This window comes from Homo sapiens, chromosome 2 (genome assembly GCF_000001405.40).
Source record: "Homo sapiens chromosome 2, GRCh38.p14 Primary Assembly".
Classification (NCBI taxonomy): domain Eukaryota; kingdom Metazoa; phylum Chordata; class Mammalia; order Primates; family Hominidae; genus Homo; species Homo sapiens.
This window is the reverse complement of record NC_000002.12, coordinates 234,846,320-234,872,386: the sequence shown is the minus strand read 5'-3', so window position 1 is coordinate 234,872,386 and position 26,067 is coordinate 234,846,320. Positions and strand designations below refer to the sequence as shown.

At 45.5% G+C, this 26,067-nt stretch overlaps 1 long non-coding RNA gene across 5 annotated transcripts in view, besides 3 other annotated features; it reads left to right on the top strand.

The window, feature by feature from the left end:
* LOC101927896 (uncharacterized) overlaps nucleotides 1-26,067 on the top strand; it is a 95,712-nt gene that overhangs the window by 16,503 nt on the left and 53,142 nt on the right. The window lies entirely within an intron of this gene.
* Nucleotides 8,688-8,982: an enhancer, noted in NCBI's record as "tiled region #15004; HepG2 Activating DNase unmatched - State 5:Enh, and K562 Activating non-DNase unmatched - State 24:Quies". NCBI's record gives its function as "activates a minimal TATA promoter and a strong SV40 promoter by Sharpr-MPRA in HepG2 cells, with weaker activation in K562 cells {active_cell/tissue: HepG2 | K562}" and the evidence as "EXISTENCE:reporter gene assay evidence [ECO:0000049][PMID:27701403]".
* Nucleotides 8,688-9,401: a biological region, named in NCBI's record as "Sharpr-MPRA regulatory region 15004".
* Nucleotides 8,829-9,401: an enhancer, noted in NCBI's record as "H3K27ac-H3K4me1 hESC enhancer chr2:235771630-235772202 (GRCh37/hg19 assembly coordinates)". NCBI's record gives its function as "activates a minimal SCP1, AML or CMV promoter by ChIP-STARR-seq in naive H9 embryonic stem cells {active_cell/tissue: H9 hESC(naive)}" and the evidence as "EXISTENCE:reporter gene assay evidence [ECO:0000049][PMID:30033119]".

Genomic DNA, 26,067 nt, shown 5'->3' with positions numbered 1-26,067 from the left:
GAGACTGCATCTGGCTATTCAGATAGGGACCCAGAGATATCAGCCTCAATTTTTTAAACACAGTGTGAGTGACTTTGATGTGAAGGTGTTTTATATTTGTCAAGTATTGTTATTTATAAGGCAGGAATAATTACCTTAGTGAGTTTGGGAAATATTATTATTTTTGCCTTTTCTGAGACATACCATTCATGCTGCTCTGGGTAGTTTAAAGTAAAAAGTTACATAGTTGATAATTTTTTTGTAATCAGATTCAAGAAGCAAGCAAGCTTCTCTCTCGCCTTTTATGCCATTTTAAATGAGATGTAAGTTTATCTAGACAATTGATTGTGAAATATTTTGAAGTTCAAAAAGATACAGAAATTGGTTACATTTAATGGAGGACACATGGATGGTCATGACGGGGTAGGGACCACAGGGAAAACAGTGTTTTTAAAATATCTTGGAGATGAAATCTGTGGCCATCTAAACGTGAAACAAGGAGGGCAAGTGAAGATGAATTTGTGTCTCTGGGCTCTCATCAGAATCAATCTAGACTCTAGCCGACAGTTCTTCACATCCTACAATTAGAAAACAACTTGCAAACTGCACAAATCATATTCTTGGAGTGAAATCAGGCCCTTGGATACTCACAACATTTATGGAGATGCTACTGCCCTTGGACTAAAAGCTTCAAAGTGGTTTGAACACCAATTAGTCTTCCCTGCCCCACAGCTCTGAAGGTTTGCTCTGGTTATATTCTATAAGTTAAAAAAATAATTTTTTTAAAGAAGCCTAGGTAAAGCTTGCAAAGGCAAAGTTACTGACATAAAATGGGGCAAATAAATCCCTGCAGAGTTGAAACAGCCTGAAAAGGGCAGCAGCGTTCACTGAGGCTCTAATCCCTAATTCATTGCAATTCAAAGATAGAGGTGAATGTCACACGGCATTATGCACAGACACATTTTGGGATAGAGAAAACAGAGTGTTGTCTGCATGGTCAAAGGTCAGCAAGAAAATCATTAGAACTGCAAACAGTCTTTTGTTGTTCTGGGCGCATTCTCTGAAAGGTGATGAAATGTAGAGCGGGAGTCAATATGAAAGGACTGTGCCTGAGTCTGCTCTTGAGATGATAGTCCTGAGAAGGTGGAAACGCCATCTTTGTACATGAAAACTGGAGGACACTGAGACCTTCAGGCGAATGATTTAGCCTAAGCTTTTTGTTGTTGTTGTTGTTTTTTCTTTTTGAGACAGAGTCTCGCTCTGTCACCCAGTCTGGACAGCTCGCTGCAACCTCCACCTCCCGGATTCAAGTGATTCTCCTGCCTCAGCCTCCCAAATAGCTGGGATTACAGGTGCATGCCAACACGCCTGGCTAATTTTTGTATTTTTAGTAGAGATGGGGTTTCACCATGTTGGTCAGGCTGGTCTTGAACTCCTGACCTCAGGTGATCCACCCGCCTCAGCCTCCCAAAGTGCTGGGATTATAGACGTGAGCCACCGTGCCCGGCCCTAGCCTAAGCTTTTTAGTGAACCATAAGAGGAATTGCACGAAGTCTTGATATTGTTAAGGTTTAGAATCTCTGAATGGGGGTCATTAAAGCTGTGGGAAGTGCTGGTCAGGATCTGTGGGGTACTCAAACCCAGAGCAGCAAAGTCCCTAAACCAGCCTCCTCGCATAAAGATTTATTCATCAGAGATCATGAAAAGTGTAAAGTGAGATCAGAATTTCATAGAATCCTGAATGATTTCTTGAAATTGTTGTTTTGACTTCACTTCTGTAAAATGTCCACTTTTTCTCCTCTCTACCAGATCTTCTCCACCCAAGTGGATGTTAGAAGGACAAGTCGTATGTTTACTAGGATACAGAATAGATAAAGTTGGTTTGAACTGATCAGCAATACATCAGTAGGATGTGGACAGGGAGACCTTTCTTTTCTGGTACCTGAGAAATAGTAAAATAGTAAGAGGTCACCAAAAAGAAGTTTCAACGCTTCTAATTTCACCAGTTAGGCCAGGAGCGCAGGCAGATATTGAGCAGCTATGCAAAGGCTTAAATTAAGAGAACATGAGTGCTGTATATCTGGCATATCTAAATAGCCCAAGGATGGAGGCAAGCCACAGGGACCAACTGCAATGTGATCTGGGGTCTGGGCTACATGGAAGGTGTATGACCACAGGCTTCTGTTTACAGAGTGTGGTGAGAAAGTTTCCATTAGGTGGACGTGTCTCTCCGTGGAATAAAGCCCAAGGCGCAGCTGGCCTCTCAACTCAGGTGTGTGTTTTAACCTTTCCCAATAGCTCAGGTGATCCCCTGAGACACACAAACACACAATGTGCTGCAGGTGATTTTAAGGGACTAATAATAGTAGTGGTAGTATCATTTCCACTTTACAAATGGTACAAAAGGATTTTGGCTATGTCTGCATGCAAAGAATGAACGACAAAACCTGTGAAATAAATGAAGACCATTACTCTAGTATATATAATGCAAGATGGACTGACTTTTTCTTTGCATTTGATTGACTTGGCTTTGGAGGTGAAAGTCTAAGAATGAAGGGAGGAGTAACTGCTGCTACTGCTTTAATACCTTTGAGAAGAGCTGTTATGTCTTGAATGGGGAGATACTAAAACTTAGTCTATTCTCCTAAAAATCCTCTAACACAAAAACAAATTTTTTTTAAAAAAGAGAAAGTGAATTCCAGATTAAGAAAAGAATCAAGTGCAATACACTTAAAGAAACTACAGTGAGAGTGACTTTTGAAATGCTTCATCACATTTCTCAAGGCAATTGATAATCATTAGTTTTTACAAAAGGGAGGTGTTTTGGTGGATAGATGGCTTAAATAGTTTGCAGGGCTTGTGGACCAATTAAGGTCTGTTGAATACGGCTTTAGAAAAGAGAGCTCAACCTGTGTCCCCTGAAAGTAATTTGTATCATAGTTGGAAAGATACAATGCATTACAACCAAGCAAGTCTTATAAACATCCTGAGGTTTATATTGATTATGAATATTGCCACAGGTGGGACAGGTGCAATGCCCAGTTTGTCTTGGCAGACTTGGCTTATGCCTGTTATCCTAGCATGATTAAGAGTGTCCCGTTTCACTCTAAAAGGTGTCCTAAATGGATGATGAATGATTTGGTCTTTTTATTAATGAAGTAAGAGGGAAGGATTATTCCTAACTGGGTAGACTGTAGATTTGTGTAACTAAAAGGGAATGAGTTGGTGATGGACTTATTTTCTAAATATATTCTTGCTGATAATTTCTTAAGGGACCAATACAGAATAGTAAATTTCAAGGACTGTCACTTTTACTGAATTTTTGACCCAATTATGATGCAATTATATTTTTTGTGTCATGTTCTTCATGCTCTAAACATAGCACAATTAGAAAGGATTTGAGAAAAGGCATATTTTAGATGGCATCAAGGTCTTTTTTTGGCAACCTTTTTCTTTTCTTTCTTTCTTTTTTCTTTTTTTTTTTTTTTATGGAGTCTCGCTCTATCACCAGGTTGGAGTGCAGTGGCATGATCTTGGCTCACTGCAACCTCAGCCTCCCAGGTTCAAGCAATTCTCCTGCCTCAGCCTTCTGAGTAGCTGGGACTACAGGCACGCACACACCACCACGCCCAGCTAATTTTTGTATTTTTAGTAGAGACGAGGTTTCACCATGTTGGCCAGGATGGTCTCGATCTCTCGACCTCGTGATCTGCCCGCCTTGGCCTCCCAAAGTGCTGGGATTACAGGGGTGAGCCACTGCGCCCAGCCTGGTAAGCTTTTTCTACTAAACAAACCATAGAATTCTCCTGGTCCCTAAAATGTTTGAATAATGAACACAAAGTAACATAGTTTATTTAGTTACAGACTTTGCTTCAAGAAAGACAGACACACACACACACACAGAGTTTTGTATGAGGAAAATCAAGAAAAACAATAAGAAGTCCAAGTGCCCTGTGACATGTTGGAGGGCCACACATGGACCTCTCCCCATTGGACAGTCCCAGCTGAGTGCCGTCTTCCACCCATTCTCGAAAAAGCACCAAATACCAGTGACCCTCATTATTTGCAGATTCTGTATTTGCAAATTTATCTGCTCATTAAAATTTATTCAAAACCCCCAAATCAATACTTGCAGCACTGTTGTAGTTATTCATGGATGTGTATGGGGCAGCAAAAGGTTTGAGTCTCTCAATGTGCATGTTCCCAGCTGAGGTCACACAAGAAGATACTTTGCCTTCTTGTTATAGCTCTCAATACTGCAATCAACGGTCCTTTTCACCGTCTACCTAGCGCCATGTGTTTTGTGCTTTTTGCTGTTGATTTCACTGTTTAAAGTGACCCCCAAACATAGGGCTTAAGTGCAGACCAGTGTTCCTAAGTGCAAAAAGGCTTTGATGTGCCTTGCAGAGGAAATATGTGTGTCCAGTATGCTTTGTTCAGGCAGGAGTTTTAATGCTGTTGGCTCTGAGTTCAAGGTTAGAATCAACAACATGGTACATTGGGAAAAGAGAAGAGGAAATTTGCCAATCTGTAAGGGAGGCCATCCTAGAAAGTGCTTAAACTAAATCTTTGGTGTGTGATGGAGCTATGAAAAAGATGGGGAAATGGCTAAATCTGTAGATTTTTGAGATTATGACATATAGAAAAAAGAGTAGTGACAGCATTTTTTTGTGAGGCTGAGAGCCAAAGAAATTCATGGACACATTACCCAGGTTCAGGAAAATGATAAACTCTTCCATGCTAGTGTTTCCTTATAAAGAAAATACTTCATATAACTAATTATTTTTTAAGAAATAGATATTCAATAAGGTATCTTTAAACAAAAACACACAAAAACCAAAGTTGCATATTGATCAGTCAACAGAAATGTCGTGAGCTGAAGCTCACGGGAATCGAATCTTGAATTTCCTCAGAAGCAGTGGCTCCATTTGAGTTAATTCAGTGCTTGTGGCAGCCACTGCAAGCAAGAACTGCCTGGACAACACATGAGTGATGCTGTCTCGCACCCTCCAGACCAGTCCACCTCCAGCTGAGTTCCACTGAGCAATATCTATGGGCACATGAGGCACAGAGGAGTCCCCTGACCGAGCCCTGCCTAAATTCCTGACTTACAGAATCTGTGAGATATGATAAAATGGTTGCTGTTGAATCCATTAAGCTTTGGATCACCTGAGATGCAGCCATAGGTAATCAGAATGTGGTACCAGAAGTGGTAGCTTTGAACAGATATTCTCTCTTTTGTTTTGAGGCATAATACTGCAAAGTATTGAACTGCAAAGCCATAGATATTCTCTTTTGTTTTGAGCCATAATACTGCAAAGTTACTTTGAACACTTTAAGAAGGAGGAAACAGATTCAGAGAGTTCAGAATTGGTGGGGTATCAATTCAAACGCCAGCACTGAGGAATTGACGAACTCAGCCAGGCTTCAGCCTTCCTCACTGTACCACAGTTCCCACTGGCATCATTAAAGACAGCTGTTTCATGGGATAATGAATAGGCCTCTTTTGACCTTCAGTGTCAGTCAAGCTGTGTGGCTGTGATTGTGAAGAATACAACAGAGTTCATCCATTTCCAGAGATCCTTTAATGGAGATTTCCAGCAGCACCTGTAGTCACATGGTGATATGGGATGGTTGTGTCCTCACCCAAATCTCATCTTGAATTCTAGTTCCTGTAATCCCCAAATGTTGTGGGAGGGATCTGGTGCAAGGTAATTGAATCATGGGGGCAGTTACCCCCATGCTGCTGTTCTCATGACAGTGAGTGGGTTGTCACAAGATCTGATGGCCTTTTTCCCCTTTTGCTTGGCACTTCTCCTTGCTGTCGCCATGTGAAGAAGGACATGTTTGCTTCCTCTTCTGTCATGATTGTAAATTTCCTGCGGCCTCTCCAGCCATGCTGAACTGTGAGTCAGTTAAACCTCTTTCCTTTATAAAGTACCCAGTCTTGGGTATGTCTTTATTAGCAGCTTGAGAATAGACGAATACACATGGGGACTACACAGATGGCTGAGCATGATATTTGGTGCATAGATTAAGCAGAAAAGATTTGGAAATTAGGGTCAGGAATTGTTTAAGCTTTGAAGGGCAAAGATGGCTTGAGGAATAGCTCCTGAGGCCTGTGGGAACAACTATCATGAGGAAAGACTCAGAAAATGAGAACTGGGCATTGCCATACAACCTGGCCAGCTCTTGTCCACGGAGGGGATTCCTGTGTAACCTCTGTGTCAGGGAAGAGACTGGCCACTCAGTTGTCTCCTGAGAGCAAGGCTGAGTTGCCCCAAGTTGCATAGAAGGGTGTCTGCTCCTGGAGGGGCCTTGGGACTGGGCTCCCAGATGTCCGTAGGGGACATTCCTGGATGTGTGGTCCAGTGCATCCTGGAGTTGCAGTGGAGATGCTGCCGAGTGCCTGTGGTTCAAGAGGAAAGTGGCAGGGTGGGTTTGGGCATATAGTCTGTTATTTAGATTCTATGCTAACAAAGGCAAAAGGAATGTTGGCCTAAGATGACAGATGATTGCTTTCTCCCAAGGTTAGCAGGCTAGGTGGGCAAAGTTGGATAGTAGTCTTTACTGGCACTTGCAGGTCCTATGGGACAATGCAAGACAGGACATGTCTTCCAACTTCCTGGTGTCAGCGTGGCTCATTGTGTCCGGCTTCTGAAGACAGCCACTCAGTTACATGCAGGCCATGGGCCTGCTTGCTCTCACATTACCCCTTCCCCCTCACACTAGGAGAAGAGTAATGTGGTTGGCAGAATAATAACCCACCAAAGATGTCTGTGTCCTAATTCCTGGAAATTGTGAATATGTTACCATACATGGCAAAGGGGAATTAAGGTTGCAGATTGAATTAAGGTTGCTAATCAATGAGCTTAAAATAGCAAGATCATCCTAGATTCCCTGCATGGGCCCAATATGATCACAAGATTCCTTATAAATAGAAGCAGCAGGAAGAAGTCAGAGGGATGCAGCGTGGGAGGACACAGCTGGCCAGTGCTGGCTCTGACGATGGAGGAAGGGGCCATGAGCCAAGGAAAGTGGTGGCCTCTGGAGGGAACGCAGCCCTCCTGAAACCTTGATCGAGCCTAGTAAGATCCATATCAGATCTCTGACCTCCAGAACAATGAGATAATGAGTTTGGGTTGTTCTAAGTTCCTATGTTTGTGGTCTTTTGTTACAGCAGCAATAGGAAACTGATACAGGCATGATTACCCACACTGTAGAGATTCTCAACAAAGACTTACAGAAACCACATAAGTTGCCCAAATCAGCAACATTCACAAGCAAAAATGACAGAGCTGCCATTTGGTCCCAGGCCCTGCAACTCTAGAATCTATGCAGTTCGACCCCCTGGTGCTGGCTGTTTGTCAGGCACTAGTGTTATTTTCTTACTCTGGAATTAGACTCGGCAAAAGTTAGAAACACCCGTATGAATGGGAGATAGAGGATGACCCCCGTGGCTTGGGATGTGTCCTGACAGGGACATTGTGTCATTGTTGCTAGACACAGCCAGGAGTAACTCAATATAAATGCAAAACTGGAGTTTTCTGGGGAAGGATAAAATAATAATAGAATTAAACTCACCATTTGATAAAACTGCAAGGGCTGTGTCTCAATTCCACCTGGCTTCCTGTCCCGGGCAGTGTGGAGGCAGAGTTCAAACTTAGGAATATTCAGAAACTGCTGAGCCAAAGGCCATGAATATTTATGAGGTGTCAGGGCTCGCCGGGTGCTGTCATGTTGGCTGGAGGAGCATGATGTGCCAGGTTTGGGTTGCTCTGCCCTCCGTCCCTGCATAATGAACTGAAGGGTGCCCTGACTTCAGCTTCTCCATCCGTCCATATGCTAAGCTAGCATTAATCCTTTCCCTGGGGCTTCATCTCATATCACTGAGTTTTTTTCCAAATGCCACCAGGGGGAAAGGTTGCATGGGCATCTCTGTCAGCTTCGTTTTTAACAAAATGACCATATTTGTGTTTTTAGCTGTCTTCTTTGTGGCCTAAGGAATTGCCTGAAGCATTCTCAGGGCCAGCCATAAGGCATGGGGCTGGGCTGGGCTGCGTTGGACAGAGATCCCTCATTCCATCTCCTCTTCTATCAGAGGAACTCCACATTTATCTGTTTTGCTTTTTGAGCTTCCCCACGAGGTTTTATTTCAAGAAGACCATCTGCTGCTACAAAAAGCTTGAGAACAATTGATTAAAAAAAAAAAAAAAACCCTATGATGGTGAAACTCTATGGGAAATTTATCAGACAATAAGTATTGACTTTACTATACACCAGGCACTTTTCTGTCACCGGAACGGAGCATCGAATAAAAGAGACAAAGATTCCTGCTTTCAAGGAGCTTACAATTTTAGTAAAGTAAAACATGATACCCTAAAAAATAATCATGGGGGGACATGTGGATGCGCCTGTCTTCTGGGCTTTCTTGGGCCTCCTAGATTGGATGTTAGCTTGGGGTCACTTTCACTCTTGGAGCATGTGTTTTCTTGCCCCTTCCTGTTATTTGATGACCTTAGGCTGCCCCACCCCCAGAAGTCCTGGAAGTCCTGGGAGTGTCCCTTGTGGACTCTGGCCCTCCTTCCCCAGGCACCCAGGTGCTTCTCTGACCCCTGTGGGCCCTTCCTGGGGTGAGGTGGTGGGGGCGGGTCACATATGGGAGCACAGCTGAGGGCTGCTTTGGGAAGAAGCAGGGATGAAGCCCCTCTCCCCGTCTGGCACCCCCAGGGTCTGACTGACTTGTGATGAGCACACCTCTTTTCATCTTGGCTCCAAGTCATTTCTCCCAGGATTTCAGCCAGATTCCATGGGCTGGATCAGGGTCACGTGGGCTGGACTCGGAGTGTGTCGTCCTCGGATGACTAAGGCTTTGTTCCGGCCTGACCTTGCCTGCCTGGCTCTCTTCCCTTGGGAAAATTCTCTTCCAAGAGGCTCGTCTGTCAATCCCCCCTCAGAATGGGCTTCAGCCGGGCAGTCTCACCAGTTTATCAGACAAGCCCTGTCTTGCCCCCATGTCACAGGTGCAGCTTTTCCTCATGACATGACCCCTCCCTACACAAGTCTTCTGCCCTTAACCTGAGGGGGAGTTTCTCTCCTCCCCACGTAGGCCACGAAGTGGAGCAGCTGCCCTCTCTTCACTTCACCTCCATGCTCCCAAACAACATTGTCGCTTTTAAGACAGTCACCACTGAGAACGCTGGGCAAGTCCCAGAGGCTTACGAAATTTTACAGAGCGCATCCTTAGACCTGCAGACTACGGGGGGAATAAAGCCTCTCCTTCAGTTTGCAGATGGAACTGAAAGAATTTCTACACAGTAAACAGATTCACCTGAACTGGCCGAGTCTCAGCAAGGTCTTATTGAATTCTAACACACAGTGTAACAGTCAAAAGTAATTCCGCTTTTACCTGGGCCTCTTGAAGGACAGTAAAGATGATCTAATCTTAGTCCCTGGCAGCTTTCCTTAAACCCACTGCACTCACCCTCCAGTGTTCTCAGACCGCACCCTCCCCTTCCCTGGTCCCCCAGCCTCAGCCCCGGTCTGCACATCGTGTTCCTCAAGCTTTCCTCCCCTCTTGGATTGGAGGATGGAAGGTTGGAAAAGCTCACATTAATACATTATGTTCCGGCTCATCCCTTTTTTAGTTTTATTTATTTATTTTTTGAGAGTCTGGCTCTGTTGCCCAGGCTGGAGTGCAGTGGCATGATCTGGGCTCATTGCAACTCTGGCTCGAGTGATCCTCCCACCTCAGCCTCCTAAGTAGCTGGGACCACAGACATGTGCTAGCATGCTCAGCTAATTTTTGTATTTTTTTAGAGATGGGGTTTCCCCATGTTGCCCAGGCTGGTCTCGAACTCCTGGACTCAAGTGATCCACCTGCCTCGACCTCCCAAAGCGCTGGGATTATAGGTGTGAGCCACTGTGCCCTGGTCCCTTTTAAAAATTCTTGGTGGAGCCAGTTCAAACTCCCAATGTCGCTCAATCTGGTTTCTCTCTCCTGTGAAGTCGCTTTCCTCTGCCACTGCAGCTCCAGAGGCCTGAGGACAAATGTCAAGGTCAAGGGTAGCAGAGCTGCTGTCTCGTGGCCCAGACTGACCTGCTGGCTTTCCCCTGGTCCTTGCCTTTCTTTCTTAAGGACAGTGGCTTGCGGGGGAGGTGGACTGGTAGGAACAAGTCAGATGTTGTTGGCACTTGTGTCTTGTTTCGTGCATGTGATGTCTTAAACAATTTTATTACATTCAAAGCAGTGCATTTTACATGAAAACCCAGGTTTCTGGCATGTCTTGAGAAGCTGGGACATTTGGTGACTCCGTGTCCCCAGGGAGCAGTCAGCTGAGAAGGTTCCCTTAGACCCAGTTTGTTTCTTCAGTTCACACAGTCCTGCTTGGCCCACGCGCTCCTTTTCCTGTCCAGCCCCTGCAGGCATTTGAGTTTTCAAGCTTGCCTTTGTTGTAATGGCTTTGGAATAGCTTGCATTATTTATAGTGCTCCCATTTAGTTTCTGTAGGCCACACACATTTTGACCCAAGTAAGAACTGTATACCCAGATATTAAGAGGGGCAGGGAGGAGATGAAGGTCTCCAATTGCCTACCCTTGTAATTCCTTACTGCTGGTTCAAGTCAGGGAGATTCTTCCAACAGTGCCCCTTCCTCAAAATGCAGGTGGCTGGGGAAGATGATGGCATGGCTTCTCTTGGACCAGGTCCTGGCTGCCCTGGACATCATTTCTGTTGCTTAGGTTGAGTCGTGGGTTCATGTGGGGTCTCGAACACCATCAGGCAATGGTGGTGAACCCCACCGCCCCTAAACGCGATGCAGCCTTCTTGGAGTGCTTTGCTCAGTCTCCTTCCACCTGAGCAAGGCAGCTCTCCACAGGCCCCTGCCCCGGCACTGGCATGCAAGAAGCAAAAAGAAAGCCTTCACAGCATTATTTCTTTCTAAGATTCAAGTGAAAGTCGGCACCTAATGGCTTTTGGCACAGTTGTTTCTTCTTTAGGGACACACATATTGTACAGTGGAATTCAAAACATTTCTATGGTTAGGTTGTGCTAAACAGTATAAAATTCTTCCACATTTTAAAAGAAGGCATAGCCCTTAGCTAAACCATGGATACTTCAATAGAATGTTTTAAAACTTTTTGTTTTTAAAAAAACTATAGATTCATAGGAATTGCAAGAACAGCGTAGAGCAGATTTGTGTGTGCTTTACCCAGTCTCCCCCAATACTAATATCTTATAGATTTGTAATATGCGACGGGAACTCATGTTAAAACCTAATCCCCCCTGTGAAAGTATTAAGGGGTGGGAAATCTGACTATGGTATTGGAGAGGTGGGACCTTTGGGAAGTGAGGATGGAGCATTAGTGGCTCTTTTATAAGAGGAGAAAGAGATACTTAAGCCAGCATGCTCAGTCCCCTCACCATGTGATGCCCTGCACCACCTCGGGACTCTGCGGAGAGTCCCCACCAGCAAGAAGGCCCTCACCAGATGCAGCCTCTAGACTTTGGAATTCGCAGCCTCTGGAACTCTAAGGAATAAATTTCTTTTCTTTATTAATTACTCAGTCTTAGGTATTCCAGTTATAGCAACAGAAAATGCACTGAGACAGTACAATATCAAAACCAAGAAATTGACCTAGGTACAATCCACAGATCTTATTCAGATTTCATGCACTCGTGTGTGTGTGTTTCTAAGCAATTTTGTCACATGTGTAGATTTCTATAACCACCACCTCAATCAAAATACAGAACTGCTCCAACCCTCCCAATATCTCTCATGCTGCCCTCTTATTGTCACATTCGTTCTCCTCTACCAACCCTATGCAACCACTAGTCTGTAAATAAAATTATATCATATTCACCCTTTTAGAGATTGGCTCTTTTAGGCTGGGCGCGGTGGCTCATGCCTATAATCCCAGCACTTTGGGAGGCCGAGGCGGGTGGATAACCTGAGGTCAGGAGTTCGAGACCAGCCTGGCCAACATGGTAAAACCCCCATCTCTAGTAAAAATACAAAAATTAGCAGAGCAATTTTTTTTAACTGCTGATTAGTATTCCTTCGTGTGGACATACCACTGTGTGTTTAACTCTTCTTCCATTGATGGACATCTGGGCTGTTTCTGTTTTTGGCCATTATGAATAAATCTGATATGAACATTTAAGTACAGATTATGGTGTGGACATTCCAATATGACATTTTGTTTATCATTTTCAAGAGAAAAAATACATTGTTCTTTGTAGAGAAATTCTCATAAAAAGACTGACCCCTGACTTACCTTTTACAACCCACCCCACATCTCCTCCTTCTCTCCTCCCTGTTAGAGTCATTCACTTAAAACACTTTCATTGAGCATCTGTTGTAAGTGAGGTTGTTTCACAAGCTGTAACAAATCCTGCTTCCTGAAGCTGTATTCCAAACACAAACAAGATCATATCAGGTAAGTGCTCTGGAGAAGATAAAACCAAGCAACGAAGTGGAGAGTAGGGTTAACGAGCGGTAGGATGGAGAAGAATCACTGGCAGAACTTCCAGAAAAGTCTGTGCAGCTATGTTTCCTAGGCAGGGATGTTCACACCCTTCACAACACATGGCAGAGCAACACCTCTCAGATTTTGATGTACAAATGAGTCACACCAGGATCTGGTTAAAATATAGATTCTGGCCAGGCGCGGTGGCTCACGCCTGTAATCCCAGCAATTTGGGAAACTGAGGTGGGCGGATCACAAGGTCAGGAGTTCGAGACCAGCCTGGCCAATATGGTGAAACCCTGTCTCTACTAAAAATACAAAAATAACCCAGGCATGGTGGCAGGTGCCTGTAGTCCCAGCTACTCGGAAGGCTGAGACAGGAGAACCGCTTGAACCTGGGAGGCGGAGGTTGCAGTGAGCTGAGATCACACCACTACATTCCAGCCTGGGTGACAGAGCCAAAGTTCATCTAAAAAAAAAAAAAAAGTGCAGATTCTGGTTCTCTGGGTTGGGATGGGGCCCAGATCCTGCATTTCTTAGAGCTCCCAGGGCATGCTGAGGCTGCAGGTCAGGGATCAACACTTGAGAGTAGCAGGTGCTAAATTAAGTTATGAGATGAAGCCCCAAGGAGCACACAGCACCTTAATGGTACTTGATGGTAATTTCTTGGACGTTGTTAAACAAGCATCTCTGTGTGTGTGTGTTTATGGAATTGGATTCAGGGTTCCTGTGAATTTTAAATATAAATAAAGAGACCTACTTCGTGCCAACTCTTTAGGACTATGACTCCACCCCTGAAATATGTGTTCACCTTTCTGTCTGGAATGCTTTGGTGGAAGTTTTTGAGAGGCATTGCCTGTGGGCCTTTGCTAGCACACTTACTTGGGAAGAAAGCCCAGCCCTGGTTGCTGGACCCATGGCTTCTCAGGACCCCATCTCCTCCTCTGAGCCTGGCCCCTTCAGAAAAGCCCTCTGCCATTCCAATGGGCGTGGAGCTCAGCGCACCTCTGGAGGCCACTTGCTTTGGGATTTGCCTTTGGAGCCTGAGGCACGTTTACTGAATCTCCTCTGTAGGGCAAACTCATGTCCTCTGAGGACCCAATTAAACTTTAAAGAGAGACTCGACTTCAAAACCCTTTCTTTTCAGTAGCAAACTCCCCAACCTCCCCTGAGTCAGATTTAAACAATGCCTGCATTTTAGTTTGATATGCAGTTCTTGCCTAGGAGCTCATCATAGGCTCAGAATTAATTTGCCCCATTAATTTACCCCAGAATTAATTGTTGCACCTTCTCTTCCAACTTTTTCCTCCGGGATCTCGCTTGGGTGAGGCCGTGTTTGGGAAGGCTCTGTACATTTCATTCTATAACCAGACGACTTGGCCTGAAATGGTTGAGCTTAACAGGGGTGGAGGTGGGGTGGGGTGGGAGTGGTGGGGGGCAGGGCAGGACAAGGGCTTCGGGAGTGGGAGAGGCTTATCACTTCCCCAAAGGCCTGCAGCTCCGGCAATGATAAAAGCTAACTCTCAGTCATCAGCTTCCTTGCTATTCATAGGCGGGTCCAAATCCTCCTTTGCCTTCCAGCAAAGAGAAGCTTGGAAATTCCTTCAGAGGAGAGACCTTGTTTGTCACAGGCAGAAGAGCCCTGGCAGCCGGAAGCCTGATGAGGATTTGGGTCCACACTGCTGGGGCTCACAGACCTGAAGTAGACAAGGCCTGGCCTGTGGATGGCGGATTCTGCGCAGCCTCCGGCAGGGAGGGGTTGGGAGGTGGTGGTGGCCCCCTTGTTCCCTTTTCCAACCATAGGACTCCGCAGGCCCCACATAAGCTTGGAGGAGGTGCCTTTTTTTTTTTTTTTTTTTGAGATGGAGTCTCACTCTGTCACCCAGGCTGGAGTGCAATGGTGCGATCTCGGCTCACTGCAACCTCCGCCTCCCTGGTTCAAGCGATTCTCCTGCCTCAGCCTCCTGAGTAGCTGAGATTACAGACGTGCACCACCACACCCAGCTAATTTTTGTATTTTTAGTAGAGACGGGGGTTTCATGATGTTGGTCAGGCTGGTCTCGAACTCCTGACCTTGTGATCTGCCCGCCTCGTGCAGCTGTGTTTCTTAGGCAGCTGGGATTACAGCCATGAGCCACGGCACCCGGCCTTGAGGAGGTGCCATTTTTGAGGGTTGTTAGGCCCCGCATGCTGGCACTCAGGAAAAGCCGTGCCTCTCTTCTTCTGGGCATCTGGCTGGACTACACTTCCCAGGCCCTCGCAGGCAGTGGGAACCGAGTAACTGAGATGGGCGGAGGAATGAAGGCAGAAGCGTGGAACCCCACGGCCAGGCAGGATTCATCCTCTTTCTCTCTTTCTCTCTGTCTCTCTCTCGGTCTCTTTCTCCCTCCCCTTGCTCCCTGAGAACCCTGTAAGCCACGTGTTGAGGATGGCAGCACCCCCAAAGAGCAGCAAGCTGGGTCCCTGAAGGAAGGTGTGGAGTAGAGTCCCCCCAACCTCTCCTCCCCTCTGCCCTACAGATTGAGCTGGAAACAGAAACTTCTGCAGTGTTAGACCAGCGAGGTTCCAGTGCTGCTCCTCCCACCAGCCAGCCTTCCCTGACAGGTACAGCCGCTGAAGTCACAGGACAGGAAAGGCAGACAGACCCTTTGTGGGGAGTCCATCGACACCTGGGGTTCATGCTCCCCTGGGTCCTGACTGCCTGTCGTGGCGGCATAACTGGGCGCAGGGCGGGGAGAGTCTAAGGTCTAATAAGGGTCTTAGCTGCTATTTTCAGATTATTTCCTGCATAGGCCTTCCTGTTCTTCATTTACGAACATGATAATTCTTAGCTGGATATAAAAGTCTCTATATTCAGTGTAGAAAATGAGGGCCATATGTAAAATTAGAAAGAAAAAATAAAAAATCATCCATTATTTCCTTATTCAGAGATCATTGCTGGCAACTTTTTGCTGTTCCTTTTCCAGTCTTTGCAGGCATGTACATGCAGGTATATTTGTGCACATATGTGTGTGTGTTAGAGAACAAATACATTTATATATAGTATCTCGCTCTCGCTATATTATATTGTATTTTCTTTCTTTCTTTCTTTTTTTTTTTTTTTTTTTGAGACAGACTCTCACTCTGTTGCCCAGGCCGGAGTGCAGTGGCGCAATCTCGGCTTGCTGCAACCTCTGCCCCACTCCCGGTTCAAGCCATTCTCCTGCCTCAGCCTCCTGAGTAGCTGGGAGTATAGGTGCATGCCACCATGCCCAGCTAATTTTTGTATTTTTAGTAGAGACAGGGTTTTGCCATGTTGGCCAGACTGTTCTCATACTCCTGACCTCAGGCCATCCGCCAGCCCTGGCCTTTCAAAGTGCTGGGATTACAGGTGTGAGCCAGTGTGCCAGGCTGAGCATTTTCTTATGTCATTAAAATCTTGAAAGATAGTTTTACTGGATGAATAACATTCACTTAATGGCTATATTCTGATTTGTTTAAACCTTTTTGCATTGTGGGCCTCTAGAGTTGCTTATAATCCACTATATGCAAACTGCTGAGCATCTTTGTACGTGGATCTTTATTCAAATCTTTGCTGGAGCCCCAAGATACACCTTCAGGCAAGGTTCTTAGGAGTGAAATTAGTAGATAACAGACTATGATAGTTCTTTTTGAACCTCAGGCTAAACTACTTTCTGGAAAGAATATGATTTATACTCTCACCACCTGGGCATGAGGGGAATGATCTTCACTCTCTTTAGAACTGAGAATACTTTTGCATAATTTTTTTGTATATTACCGTATTGAAAGAGTCAATAGAAGTAGAAATCTTATTCAAACCACTGGTTCTTAATTTATTTGAGGGAAGGGGGTTTAGATTCATTTAAAGTCCTGGAAAAATAAATGGATCCTCAGTTTTCCTTTATTCCCCCCGACCCCATGCACACATTCAGCGTTTAGAATGGATTAATGGGGGAAGAGGAGAAAACAGTGAGACCAATGAGGACACTGGTGAGGGAGAATGGAGGCTGGGAGGGAGTGGGGGCAGTGAGGATGGAGGGGAGAAGATGCGTCTGTGTGAGAGCAAGGGGTCCTGCTGACCACTTGGACCAAATGATGGGAGAAGGGGAGAGAGGAGCTGACATTTGGGCTTTGGACTTTTCAAATTATTATGTTATTTGTTAACACTGCACCAAAACCCTCACTGCCCCAGAATAATTTGCCTTCCTCCCACCCCCTCTGTTCATTGTCCTTGATCCAGGCCTTGTGTTAAGTGGTGTGAATACAACACTGAGTTCACCGACTCCCCCTTCCCCCATAGGAGGAGGAGAAGATAAACAACAAATAAAAAATGAAAAAATAAAGTGTTCAGCTTATGATAAAGTGGAATAAGAACAGAGAATGGGCACTATGCTAGAGAATGCTGAGGGGCATGTCAGTTATCTATTGCAGTGTAACAAATAATCCCAAACTTAGTAACTTTAAACAACAAACATCTATTATCTCAGTTTCTGTGACCCAGAATATGGGACAGGCTTAACTGGGTGGTTCTGACTCAAGGGCTTTTATGAAGCTTCAGTCCAGCTGTTGCCCCTGGCTGAGATCTCATCTAAGGCTCAACCGGGGCTGAAGGATCTGCTTGTAAACTCACCCATGTGGTTGTTGACAAGCCTGAGATTCTCATGGGTTGTTGGATTAAGGGGCTCAGCTCTTTGCTAGGTGTTGGGGAAGGTCTCCTTCAGTTCCTCAACATTGGAGCCTCTTCACTGATTAGCTCATAACATAGCAGCTGCCTTATCCTAGAGCAGGTGATCCAAGGGAAAGAGCAAGAGGGCAAGAGAGAGTGTGCGTCCAAGAAGGAAGCTGCAGTCTTTTTATAACCTAATCTTGAAAATGGCATACTATCACTTTTGCTGTCTTCTGTTCATTAGAAGTGAGTCTCCAAGTTCAGTTCATATACAAAGGGAAGGGAACTAATCTCCACCTTTTGCAGGAAGAAATAGCAAAGAACTTGTGGACATATTTTTTAAACCAATATAAGGGGAGAGTGGGGATTGGCATTACTTTACATAGGGTGTTCCTATAGATTTTAAAAGATATATTTAAAATACTATTGAAAGTTTATTGCAATAAACTTGTACCAGTCCATTAGCCCTTAGTTAAAAATCTTAAGGCAGATATTTCAGATTTCAGAATTTTTGAGATTTTAAAAAAGCAATACACTGCACAAAACATATGTTATGTAAAACTCCCTAGTGAGGTCTGAGGCCTGACCGTGAGGAATCAGGGTGTGAGGAGAGGCATGTGGTTGTGGTGGTGGGCATGGGAAAGAAGGGTGAGCCAAGGCAGTGAGGCATCACAGGGACTCTGGGCTTGGTGAGAGAGGGAGGAAGGGCAGATGGGCCCTGAGGTCTCATGCCAGTGAGAAGGAAGGTCCTGTTGTCAGACCCCTAAGGGGAGCTGGTTTCAGGGTAAAAGACTCTTGGATTAGATGCATTGAGTTTGAGGAGCTGAAGGGGCCTTCAGGGTAGAGAAATGGTCCCAGTCACTCAGAAGTTATCATGAAGACAGCCCTGATTGGGGTGATGGTGGCTTCACCATGGGATATTAATTAAATACATTAATATCTCTACAGTGAAACCTATGAATATTCACACCATGCAGGATAAATATAGACTTTGAATAACCTCATGTTAGTTAAGGTCAGATTTGCATACAAACAAATTTACGTCAAATGTAGAAAAGAACACTTTTTGTTTTCCAGAGCATTTGGATTTTGCCATTGCAGATAAGGAGCTGTGGACCCATAATAAATCTTTAATAATATACTCATCTAAAGTAAGGAATACTTTGTTGTAAAGTAAGGAATATTACTTGTTATGGTCTGAATATTTGTGTTCCTCGAGAATTCATATGTTGGAACCTAATCCCCAATATGATGATATTAGGAAGTGAGGCCTTTGGGAGGTGATTAGGTCATGAGAACAAAGCCCTCATGAATGTCATTCCTACTCTTATTAAAGAGGCCCCAGAGAGCTGCTGTGCTCCCTCTACCACGTGAGCACACAGTATGAAGTCACCATCTATCAACCCAGGAGTGCATTCTCATCAGACACTGAATCTGCTAGGAACTTAATCTTGGAGTTCCCACCCTCCAGAACTGTGATAAATAAACTGTTATGGATAAGCCACTCAGTCTATGGCATTTACTATGGCATACAACAAGATATTGCCTAAATTATTTCTTTATCAAATATCATAAAAAATTAATAAAAATCATTTTAAAAAATCCTAAAACCCCTCAGGGGATTGTGAAAGGAGTTTTTAATTACAAAGATTGGAATCTCCAGAGGCAGGAATAGAGAGCGATAACCTAAGAGAGGGAGATTGCAGCCATACCTTGAAGGTCTTTGAATGGGGGCCTGAGATCTCTAGCCTTGATCTTGGAAGTTATGGGGAGCCCCTGAAGTATATCAACCAGAGTGCAGAATTGTGCCTTCTGAGCCAGCCTGGGATGTGCAGGGGAATGGGAGTCAATAAGTCTTCTTACATCTGGATTCAGCAAATGCTCTTTCCATGTGTTCCTTGCACTCTGTGGGACCAGCACTGCAGACCTGCAGCAGGGCGACCTGGTACTCCTCCTCTCCCGGCTCTCTCCGTAGTGAACGAATTGTTTAAATGGAGGCTTCCTCACACAAGTTCCTCATCTTAGATCCTTTAAATCTCAAAAGTCTCCCCAGAGCAGACACTTCCCCATAGGCACTGGAGCAGAGAGGGATGGAAGCTGTGACCAGGCAGACCTGTGAGGAATCAGGGTGTGAGGAGAGGCATGTGGTTGTGGTCGTGGGCATGGGAAAGAAGGGTGAGCCAAGGCAGTGAGGCATCACAGGGACTCTGGGCTTGGTGAGAGAGGAAGGAAGGGCAGATGGGCCCTGAGGTCTCATGCCAGTGAGAGGGAAGGTCCTGTTGTCAGACCCCTAAGGGGAGGTGGTTTCAGGGTAAAAGACTCTTGGATTAGATGCATTGAGTTTGAGGAGCTGAAGGGGCCTTCAGGGTAGAGAAATGGTCACAGTCACTCAGAAGTTATCATGAAGACAGCCCTGATTGGGGTGATGGTGGCTTCACCATGGGATATCCCTTAAAAGGCTCACCCACAGGACTTTGGTGAGGCTCAAGAAAGAACCTGCTTTATAAAAGGAAGCACAAGCTAAATAAAAGCTAGTTTTGCTGTGAGCTAAGCTGATTTTAATTGTTTCTTTATATTGGAAAAGAAAGAAAGAAAGTGTGTGCTGGGTTGTGCCTTGGTGAAGCTGGGAAGGGGACACCAGTGTTCCCATTAGAGACTCTTCCAAAGTCTTTCAATGAGGAAAGGGCAGGGCAGATGGTGAGGAAACAGACCAGCTTGCCTCTTGCTAGCTACCCTGATGACAAGTTTAGAGAGAAGCTGAAAAGGGACAGAATCATATATTGAAATATTAATTTATGTTTTATTTTGCCTCTGTGAAAGGGTCAGGAAAAAAGAGAAACATTTTTCTTCTCCCTCTTTAACTCCATCACCATTTTCTTCTTTAAGTTCCAGAAAATCTGGACTCCGTTGGCACCCAGGTTGGAGTTTAGAAGTTTTAGAAAAGAGCTGAGCTGCATGGCCCAAAGGTCATGTGGGGCTTTGGGAGCCATGGGACATGGGTGGAATGTGGCCAAGAGCTTTGCCCAAGTTGGGAAAGGGGGCAGAGGCTTTTGTGTCTCAGGACTTGTGGGCACCTTGCCTTGCTCTTCACAGCATGAGGGAGCTGGCAGGTGCAGGGTGGGGTGATGCTTCCAGGGATGGCTGGACCCTAAGCTCAGAATACTCCAGCCTGCATGGATATCCCCATGTCTATGCTTGCACATGGAGCCTGTCAGAGGTGACTGGTGGTCATGGACACGAGAAGAAACAGATATCAGCTTCCGGACAATGGCAGCTCCATGGGTAGAGGAAGGAGACTCAGAAAAGGCTGCCACTGGATTTACCATCAGTTCAGTGCTGGTGGCATACAGAGAGCATGTGACACTTGTTTCATTGAAATACCAAAAAAAGGCATTTCTCACATCTTGTGTGTTGGAAAAAGCCACGCTGTGTACCAAACCCTACTATAGTACTCTGTCTTAGTCCATTTGTGTTGCTATAAAGAAATACCTGAGGCTGGGTGATTTATAAAGAAAAGAGGTTTCATTGGCTCGTGAGTTCTGCAGGCTGTACACAAAGCATGCTGCCAGAATCTGCTTCTGCATGAGGGCTTCAGGAAGCTTCCAATTATGGCAGAAGGCAAAGGGGGCGTCGGTGTCACATGATGAGAGAAGAAGGAAGTGAGAGAGAGAGGAGGAGGTGCCAGGCTCTTTTCAAAAACCAGCTCTTGGGAACTCATAGAGCAAGAACTCATGACAGCAAGGATGGCACTAAGCCGTTCCTGAGGGATCTGTCCCTGTGACCCAAACACACCTCCTATTAAGCCCCACCTTCAACATTGGGGATCATATTTCAACATGAGATTTGAAAGGTACAAATATCCAAACCATATTACACTCCTTTCAAGTTACCTTTTCTATCCCAGTGCTCTGAGAGTGGTCGAACTGTGGTTGCTTTTGTCCCTTATTCTGTTTGCGTTCTCCTTATCAACCTTGAAGGATATGATTGCTCTTCTCCAGGTAGCTGAGCCCTGTAAGTAGTTTGCACAGTGTCTATATGCTTCCTTCTCCTTCTTCAAGCTCTCAGGTGTCGCATTTGCCTCCTAGTTACCATGTTTCAGCAGAAAGTTTAGTAGTTGTTGAAGTGACAATATTCAGACACCAGATGTGGAAGTCCTGTGACGTTGGTTGCAAAAATGACTGCAGCTCTCCGCTGCTTCCTGTATGCACGCCCTTTCCAATGTGACCTTGGAGACTGTCCTGTCAGGGGGTGTGTAGGGGGATGGAGTCTGTTTCTCATTCCTGGCACCTGGACTATCTTTGTCCCTTGCTCTAGGCAGTAGAGTGTGGCAGAAATGAAGGCAAGCTAGCTCTGAGTTAGGCCTTAGGAGGCAGTGGGCACTTCTAATTACCTTTGAAATCTCCCACTGCCACAAGCTCAAGAATAATCCATTCTAGCTTGCTGGAGGTCGAGATCCACATGGAGGAGAGCTGTGGGGTTCCAGCCACAGACGTCAGAGACCAATCAGCCTGTAGCTGACCCATCAGTGGAGCAAGCCTAGCTGAGATCAGCCTGGCCGTGCCCAAGCACCTTATAGACCCATGAAAAACAATAAACTGTTGTTGTTAAACATCAATAAATCTTGGGGTGGCTTGCTGTGTAGCAACAGTTGACTGCTAAAGCTTGCATACCTGGTGACAGAGTTTGGATGTTTGTCCCTCTAAATCTCACGTTGAAATGTAATCCTGAGTGTTGGAGATGGGGCCTGGTGGAAGGTGTCGAGGTCATGGGGGTGGGTCCTTCTTGAGTGTCTGGGTTCTGTCCTTGCAATAGTGAGTTCCCTTGAGATCTGGCTGTTTAAAGGTGTATGGCACCTTCCTCCTCTGTCTTGCTCCTGCTCTCACCATGTGACATGCCTGCTTCTGCTTCGCCTTCTGTCATGAGTAAAAGCTCCCTGAGGCCTCACCAGAAGCCGAGCAGATGCAGGTACCATGCTTGTTCAGCCTGCAGAACTGTGAGCCAATTAAATCTCTTTTCTTTATAAATTGCCTGGCCTCAGATATTTCTTTATGGCAGCACGAGAACAGACCAACACACCTGGGCAGTCCTGGATTCTCCAGGCGCATCACAAACAAAACCAGTTAGACATTCATTCAATCCCAGAGCGACTTCCTTTCTCATTACTTTTTTAAAAAATAAATTTTTAATAATCTCAAGCCTTCCTGGCTCTCCATAGAATTCTTCCTAGCACAACATTTCTATTTTAATCATATAACCTCCAGGATTCAGATGCACCAAATGCAACAATTGATGAACGTCTGAATCTCCACTGGTTTCACTTTCCAGATCCAGGTTGATCTATGATTCTTCTACAGAATCATAATCTCCATATATTTATCCCCAAGAGAGGTTAAATCAGGTGCTTCATTATCTGGAGTTCTCAGGAAGTAAACCGTCAGCCAGATGCTGCTTAGATTTATGCTTCTCTGGCATGTGGTGCAACCGGCCGAATTTCTAAATTAACATCTAAGATGTGCTCCAAGTAGTCTTAATTTGCTTTCTTTTCTTCTTCTATTTTTTTTTTTTTTTTCACAAAAATAGTGCTGAGATGCAGGCATCCGTGCCTGGTTCCTGCCTCTGTGAGGCTCAGGACCAGGCTGTCTTGCTGGCGTTTGATTTCTCACACATTGGAAGTTCTTCAGTTATCAGCAGAGGCAAGAGGCATATTTTTATGCTGGGGTCTTTGAGTGTCACAGCAAATTAAATGGTGGTCCTTCTGGTAAAGGAAGAGGCTAAGTGGGAAAATATATGAAAATTAAAGCAATCCACTAGATGTTTTTTTCTTTTTTTTTTTGCAGTAGGAACAGCATGCCGAAGTGAACACTACTGACTTCCTTTAAAATTTTTCACAATGCCTTCTGTTTTATCTAGAAATTGAGCTTTAAGGGAAAATAGAGTGACAGAGACAAAAGGAAAAGTGTAATCCCTTTGGCTTCTTCCAGTAAGCTTTAGAACTCAGCACCCAACCCTTCTGTAAGACAACAGATAGGAAAAGATGCCATGGTCTGAAAGGAGAAGAGAGGAAACGAGAAACTAATATTCATTGAATATCACTATGCAGTGATATTCAGTGATCAGATGCTGGGTTACAGATATTCTTCCATCAGGGCGTCACTGAGTCCAAACCTGATGACTCTATGGATTTTAAAATGAGGGCACAGTTGAGACGCCAGCAGTTATGGTTTTGATATCTGGGTCTCTATGGAAAAGGGAAGCACTGGGTCATGTTTAAAAGCCAAGAGGCCTCCCACTAGGATGAAGAGCAATATTTGATTAAAAAAGTAAAGTGAAATTGAGAAATTTAGATAGTGAGTAGTAGTTCTGAGGTCTCCAAAGAATGCAAATTAAAATTTCTGATGCTTGTGAAAATATCTGCCCTTGAGATTTGTTCTATATTTATACCCCCAAGCCTGACCTGGGAGAGTGGGTCAGATTGTATTTCAAAGTACTTCCTTTCCAAAACATTCCTAGCAAAGGATGAAAGAAAAGGGGCAGCCCATTGTGTAGAAGTTGAGTGTGGCAAGGAGAATGAATTAGGACTCCAAGATTTTGGGTGCACTGAGAGAGGCCACCATGATCTGAGTGGGCAGAAGGAATCTTTCAGGGCTACAACAGGTTCATTTTCAACTGCTGTCTGGAACTGGGGCCTCCTGGGGTGACAACGGCAGGCAGCCCTCCCCTGCTGCAGCTGCTGAGAAGGGAAGAGAAATGACTGATTGAAGACGGGCTTCGGGCTAGAAACTCTGCTAAGCACCTTCATATTTACAATCCTGTTTAACCCTAAAAAGAAACCCTATCACACAAGACTAGTTACCCCAAATTTGCAGATGAGATGAAGTAACTGAGCATCAAAAACATTTGGTAATATGCCTACCTGAGTGAAGAAGCAGCATTAGGATTTGACCTTGGATTTCTGTTGCTACAAAGCCTGTGGCCGTATCATAAGACATGGACAAGAGGTATTAGAAAACCCAGAGTCCACAGGCCCAAGAGGAATAAAGCCCCTCCTCCTTTTCCCCAACCTGAGAAATTGTGTGTGTGTGTCTGTTTGTCTGTGCGTGTGTGTGTGTGTGTGTGTGTGTGTGTGTGTGTGTATTTTGAGAGGGGAAGGAAGAGCTCCCAGGCACGAGAAATGTGAGCGTCTCTGGAGCTTGGTTGATGTTTGGCATCATCAGCTTTGGAAGGTGTAGATAAGGACAGCTGGGGGTGAGGACATGGGGAAAAGTCTGTGGACAGAGCCTGGGGCACACCCACACCTATGGCTGGAGAGGGCTGACACTGGACTGCACATCAGGGGCCCCAGAGTAAGTCAGCATGACAGTCCTTGGGTGAGTTTTGTCTCAGTTTTCCCAGCTGTACAATGGGAAGGTGGCCGAGGAGGTGAACGCAAGTAGGGCTTATGGGATGGGACTGAGAGCATGTGGGGGAGATATGGATGCTGTGAGGTTAGTGGGGGCTGAGAAGCAGAAAAGCGAGACGGGGAGTCGGGGTCCTGTAGCTGATGCTGGTGGTGGCAGGGGCCACACATGCATCCTCACCACAGCCAGCGGCAGGGTCATGCTTAGAGTTCAGTCAGTGAGCAGTTCTTCAAACTCAGTAATTATCTGGTTTTCGTCGGCTGGCAAATGCCTATTGGGCATCTGCTCTGGCCCCGGCATTCCACGAGCAGTTGGGCTGCACAATGACAAGATTGGGCCCTATCAAAAAGGACAGGCATTTCAGTGGGGCGACAGGAACGCAGACCAGTCCTGCAAGAGGAGGCCCTCTCCTCATTGCCTGATGTCCTTTGCTCTCTTTTCTCTTGTCTGAGCAGTAAGTTGCTTAATTGCTTGGCCACCTGTCCCCCACCCCTTGCCCCAAGGTGGTCATGAGACGAAGCACAGGGCTGCGTTTTGGGTGCCTCTCTCTTCACTCTTCTGCCAAACAGGCCTGAACTCATGATGCAATCCGCCGCCTGGGGCAGGACTAGTCAGGTGTCTCTTTTTCCACATCTTCTGGAACACACCTAGGAGGAGTTTCAGAAGGACCCAGACCTTCTGTGCTGACCCAGGGCCCTTCCTTCTCCTCTCTCCATCCCCTGTGGGATTTGACTATGCTGGTCCAAGGATTTTGTTTTAAGCCTAAGCCAGGGGTTTTATTTCAACTCTTACCTGAGAGCCCTGCAGTAGGGGTGTCTGGTGCTTCCTCATGAATACAATAGGGTCATATCTGTGCCCACCTCATAGGACAGCTACAAGGGTCCCAGGAGAAGGTCGCATAAAGCCCTTAGAACAGGCTCTGCACAGAGGAAGTGCTGGTGACTGTAATCAGGCCGTAATTACGCAGACTGGCTGTGAGTAAAGAGACTCTGTTGCCTCTTTGGCCATTGCTTGCGAGTTTAGCCTTATTAGGAGGGAATTCCATGGTGAGGAGATGAATAGCAGCCCAGATGCTGGCTTTCCTCTGGGCCCCTGACCACAGCAACAGACCCAAGAAACCTCCTGAGCAAGGAAAAGCCAGTGCCGAAAACAGAGATTATGTGCGGGGAGGGAGGAATGGAGTCTACATTGAGAGCACCCTGGCCTTGGGACTCCCATCAACAAAAGGAGGTTTAATTTCAGAAGGAAGGTGATCCTGGGGGCCTGCATTTATAGCGCTCCCAACTCATGTAATTCTCAAAGTAAGCTCAGGAGGTTCACAGTTATGAATGCAGGGGCTCAGACAGGTCCCTCCACCTCATTCATTGTCACCCGCCATTGTCTCTCCTCTACCCCAGGCTCCTGCCCAGGGTGTGGGGGCGACCAACTCTTCTGTCTCCAAAATGCTATTCTATTCTCTTTCTGCCTCAACAGATAATACATTTTTCTTTGGGGATGGAATGAAATGAAAACTTTCTGAATTTTGGCACTGTGTCTCTTTATCCTTTTGAAATGCC